The 5,180-nt window shown below is 33.1% G+C and overlaps 1 long non-coding RNA gene across 1 annotated transcript, besides 1 other annotated feature; it reads left to right on the forward strand.

Moving 5' to 3' along the window:
- Positions 234–1,433: an enhancer, noted in NCBI's record as "BRD4-independent group 4 enhancer chr18:37825467-37826666 (GRCh37/hg19 assembly coordinates)". NCBI's record gives its function as "activates an origin of replication core promoter dependent on BRD2, P300/CBP, MED14 and CDK7 cofactors, and independent of BRD4, by STARR-seq in HCT116 cells {active_cell/tissue: HCT116}" and the evidence as "EXISTENCE:reporter gene assay evidence [ECO:0000049][PMID:35650434]".
- Positions 1,004–4,357, forward strand: LOC105372082 (uncharacterized). The gene is made up of 3 exons (XR_935408.1): positions 1,004–1,037; positions 1,246–1,296; positions 4,208–4,357. It is a non-coding gene; the product is annotated as an uncharacterized LOC105372082 (long non-coding RNA).
- Positions 4,358–5,180: the final 823 nt, after the last annotated feature.

Raw genomic sequence — 5,180 nt, forward strand, 5'->3', positions numbered from 1 at the left:
CTTCATCATGACTTTCTTGAGTCACAAAGGCCAGGACTGCAAGACTGCATTCTGGTTTTGAAGAAGAAATATTAACACTTGGAATTTAGTTCAGTTTCTTTCCCTTGGAAGCCCAGTAATTTTTAGTTACCCATGTCTCCCCAATCATCCCTTATCCAACAACTTTATGATGTAAGTTCTCCTTAAAGTTTGCATAGTTCAAAATGTTTTTGACCTCTTCAAATGTTATATACTATTTGTCAGTGTTAAAGAGTTATGCATCTGCTTCCAAAAAGGCAACTGACCTTCATAAAGGAAAGATTTGCTATTAAGAGGTGAAGCCGGCCGGGCTTCTGGGTTGGGTGGGGACTTGGAGAACTTTTCTGTCTAGCTAAAGGATTGTAAACACACCAATCAGTGCTCTGTGTCTAGCTAAAGGTTTGTAAACACACCAATCAGCACTCTGTAAAAACGCACCAATCAGTGCTCTGTGTCTACCTAAAAGTTTGTAAAAGGACCAATCAGCACTCTGTAAAAATGGACCAATCAGTGCTCTGTAAAATGGACCAATCAGCAGGATGTGGGAGGGGCCAAATAAGGGAATAAAAGCCGGCCACCTAAGTCAGCAGAGGCAACCCACTTGGGTCCCATTCCATGCTGTGGAAGGTTTGTTCTTTTGCACTTCACAATAAATCTTGCTGCTGCTCGCTCTTTGGGTCCGCACCACCTTTATGAGCTATATCACTCACTGTGAAGGTCTGCGGCTTCACTCCTGAAGTCAGCAAGACCACGAACCCACCAGGAGGAACAAACAACTCTGGACGCGCCACCTTTAAGAGCTGTAGCAACCACTGCGAAGGTTTGTGTCTTCACTCCTGAAGTCACGCCAGACCACAAACCCACTGGAAGGAAGAAACTCCAGACACATCTGGACATCTGAAGGAACAGACTCAGGAAACAATCTTTAAGAACTGTAACACTCACCGCCAGGGTTCATGGCTCCATTCTTGAAGTCAGCCAGACCAAGAAGCCACCAGAAGGAACCAATTCCAGACACGGTAACTGACTTCTACTTGTTCCATGAAATATTTATTATTATACTATTTTCAGACTAAGAAAACTGTTTAAATAGAGAGGATGAAAAATGAAAATTACATCAACTTAGTTTTAGCACATTGTACAGATAGAATTTTAAAAAATACTATTTGACTCTTACGTGGATTGTTTCTGCAAATAATCCCCGATTTATATGGCTTTATTTTTCAGGGAGCACAGATGTACCCTGAATATATGCCTTCGTTACAGAAGCTTTTTGAGGTACTGGACACGTTTCTGAATTTGCTTTACCCTGAACAAACGTAGGCAACTCAAAACCTAATTCTGAACTCTGGTCTATACCATGTTATTTTTAAGATTTATGTGCGCATTTAATTAATTATAAAAGCACTAATGAAAGGCCTGTCTCTCTATTCTATCCGTTCATACATTGTTCCGAACTCTTACAATTACTATGACTGAGAAAGATATTATATCTTGTACTATCAGCTGCCTTGTACCTCCATTTTTTTTTTTACTTTACAATTGCTTTCCTGACTATAGTAAATTTATATTCATACTAGCTTTAAAATCCCTCTGTTTAGTTTCTACAAAGAGTTTATTTTTTAATTGACTTTATTAGGTTATAATTTATACAGAGTATAATAATTTTTATCACATTGTTCAACAGATTTTGCCTATTTAACTACCCCTACATTTAAGATAGAAAACATTTTTCATCACGCAAAAGGTTCTTTAATATCTCTTCCCAGTTAGTCACTAGCCGCTACTGGTCCTGCTACTGCTGCTCTGCTGTCTATCCTTGCAGATTAAATTTGTCTTTTTTAGTGTTTCACATTAATGGAATGACACGCATATGCTCATTTGTGTCTGGATTCTTTCATTGATTATAAGGTTTTTAGATTGATCATGTGGTTATGTCTATCCAGTTCATTATTTGTTTTTAATTTCTGAGTAGTATTTCATTGCATGCTGTATCACAATTTGTTTATGCATTCATTTGTTGGTAGACATTGTTAGGATTGTTTTTTGACTATTATGGATAAAGCTTCGCTAGACAACCTTGTGCAAGTCTTTGTCTTATATATTTTTTTCCTCCACTTAGTGTAACTACTCTGTTGTACAAAAATGCATGTTTAATGTATTATATAAACATCTTTATATAATAAATACACGTATTATATAAATACATCTTTATATAATAAATACACGTATTATATAAATACATCTTTATATAATAAATACACGTGTTATATAAATGCATCTTTATATAATAAATACACGTATTATATAAATACATCTTTAATAAATACATGTATTATATAAATACATCTTTAATAAATACACGTATTATATAAATACATCTTTATATAATAAATACACGTATTATATAAATACGTCTTTATATAATAAATACACGTATTATATAAATGCATCTTTATATAATAAATGCACGTATTATATAAATGCATCTTTATATAATAAATGCACGTATTATATAAATGCATCTTTATATAATAAATGCACGTATTATATAAATACATCTTTATATAATAAATACACGTATATAAATACATCTTTATATAATAAATGCACGTATTATATAAATACATCTTTATATAAAAAATACACGTATTATATAAATACATCTTTATATAATAAATACATGTATTATATAAATACATATATAGTACATATAATATATAATATATACTGTATTTTATGAATGTATGTTTAATGCATATATTTTGTTATATATAAAAACTTTTTTCCATGTAATTTACATTTGATTCATACTTCTGTTATAATTTATATAGAGTATATTTTTTCAAAAAAATTATATACATTTATATTTATACATTTATATATACATAAATAAATATGCATTTAAATATATACATTTATATAAGTATATATAAATGTTTGTGTGTATGTTGTGTATGTGTTGTACACATTGTCTTCCAGTCTCTGCCTTTTCATCTTCTTAATAGTGCCTTTTATGGAGTAGAATTTTCAGTTTTACTAAAGGTCAATTTATTGTATGATTTTTTTCTTTTCTTTTCTTTTTTTTTTTTTTGAGACGGAGTCTTGCTCTGTTGCCCAGGCTGGAGTGCAGTGGCACGATCTCGGCTCACTGCAAGCTCCACCTCCCGGGTTCACGCCATTCTCCTGCCTCAGCCTCCTGAGTAGCTGGGGCTACAGGTGCCCGCCACCATGCCCAGCTAAGTTTTCTGTATTTTTAGTAGAGATGGGGCTTCTCCATGTTAGCCAGGATGGTCTGGATCTCCTGACCTTGTGATCCACCCACCTCGGCCTCCCAAAGTGCTGGGATTACAGGCGTGAGCCACAGCACCTGGCCTATTTTTTCTTTTATCATTATTTTTTCTGGGCTCTATGTAAGAAATTTTTACTTTCCTAAAGATGCAAAAATTTTCTTCTACCTTTTCTTCTAAAAACTTCACATTAGTTTTTACATTTACATCTGTGATCACTTTTGAATGAACTTTCATTTATTCTAAGTATTGAGATTCTTTAATTTTTATATGGATATCCAGACATTCCAGTACCATTTGTCATAAAGATGCCTTACCCAATTAAATTACTTTGGCATCTTTATTGAAAATCAAATAACCATGTAGGGATGGATGTATTTTGGGATCCTACTCTGTTGCATTGATTTGTATATTCATCTTACTCCAGTAATACATTCATTATCCGATTTACTCTTTGTTTGTAGCAATTCTATGACTAAGGCAAAATCTCCAAAATTTTTTTTAGTATTGTTTTAGTTATTCTAGACCATTTTCCTTTTCATAAAAATTCTAAAGATTGCACTGAATCTATGAAAAACTTGAGAAAAATTTTAAAAATGCTAATAATCCATGAAAATGGTATATCTGTATTAATTTAAGTTTTTTATTTCTTTTGTCAATGTTTTACAGTTACCATTGTACAGGCCAGTTCTGTAGTTATCATTATGCAGCATATTTTTGTTAAATTTAACTTTAAGTATACTTTTGGTTATTTAACTTTTAATAATTAATTGATATTAAAATGAAATTGATTTCTATATATCAATATTGTATTCTGAAAGAGAGGGTGGAAAACTCCCTGTGCTAGTAAAGAATCAGTAATATAAATCAACTTATGTTTTTCTTTCTTCCCATCTGAGTTTTAAGACATATGCTGAAAAAGAAGTGTGGCAGTGGCTCACCACCTACGAAGAAAAATCCAAATTACTCTGTTTAAACAGGCAACCTTGAAATACGATATGCACTGGATTTGAGTTCTGTTAACTCTGTGTGAGTCACTTCTGGAGGCACGTGAGGTAATGGAGAAAGAAAGAATACCTACTCAATATTCCACTTCTTTTATAAATTGAAAATAAAATGATTAAACATAATATTAATTACTAATAGTTGCTAGATTGAAAATGAGCAAGTTGTGAAAAGTTATTTATGTTTTAATAAATACCAAACTTCTGAGCTTAGCATCAGGGTTACCAATCATGTTTTCTCTTGACTGCTGCTTTATTTTTCCTCTTGGAGACAGATGGCTTGGTGTCACACATTATTTTAGTGTGTTGAGGTATGCTCCTGGTATGACTCATCTAGTTTCCTGAACCATGGCTAGTTAGCATATCTTAACTTGGCTAATGACAACAAAATTGTAACACCTTGAGAACTAGTATTGAAATAATGGCAAAATAATAATATTTATTTCAGAAAAAAAAGAATGATGAGGATGGCTTGAGAAATGAAACAAAACAAAACAAAACAATAAACAAAAAAACCCAGAATGTTTAGAGACTTGAAAAAGAGTTGCCTGTGCAAGCAGAAAACACACACACATACACACATAGAATGAGAAGATGGCATTGTTAGTGTTAAAGCAACAGCCAAAGCATGAACTCATGTCTACCTGCTTTTTTTAGCTCTCCTGGAGATAATTAACAAATGTAGGTCTCTCCACAGCAACACTCTTCTGTTGGCCCATGACCAACAGGTAACTACATTCCCAAAGATACTGGTCTAATTCCTTCTCCCTGGCAAAAGAGCTCAGGGGAAAAGCACAGCTCGGTCTCTCTTTTTCAGTCACATCTACCTACTCCCAACAGGCTTCACCCAAACAACAAGTCCAAGGAT

Source organism: Homo sapiens, chromosome 18, assembly GCF_000001405.40.
Source record: "Homo sapiens chromosome 18, GRCh38.p14 Primary Assembly".
NCBI classification, from domain to species: domain Eukaryota; kingdom Metazoa; phylum Chordata; class Mammalia; order Primates; family Hominidae; genus Homo; species Homo sapiens.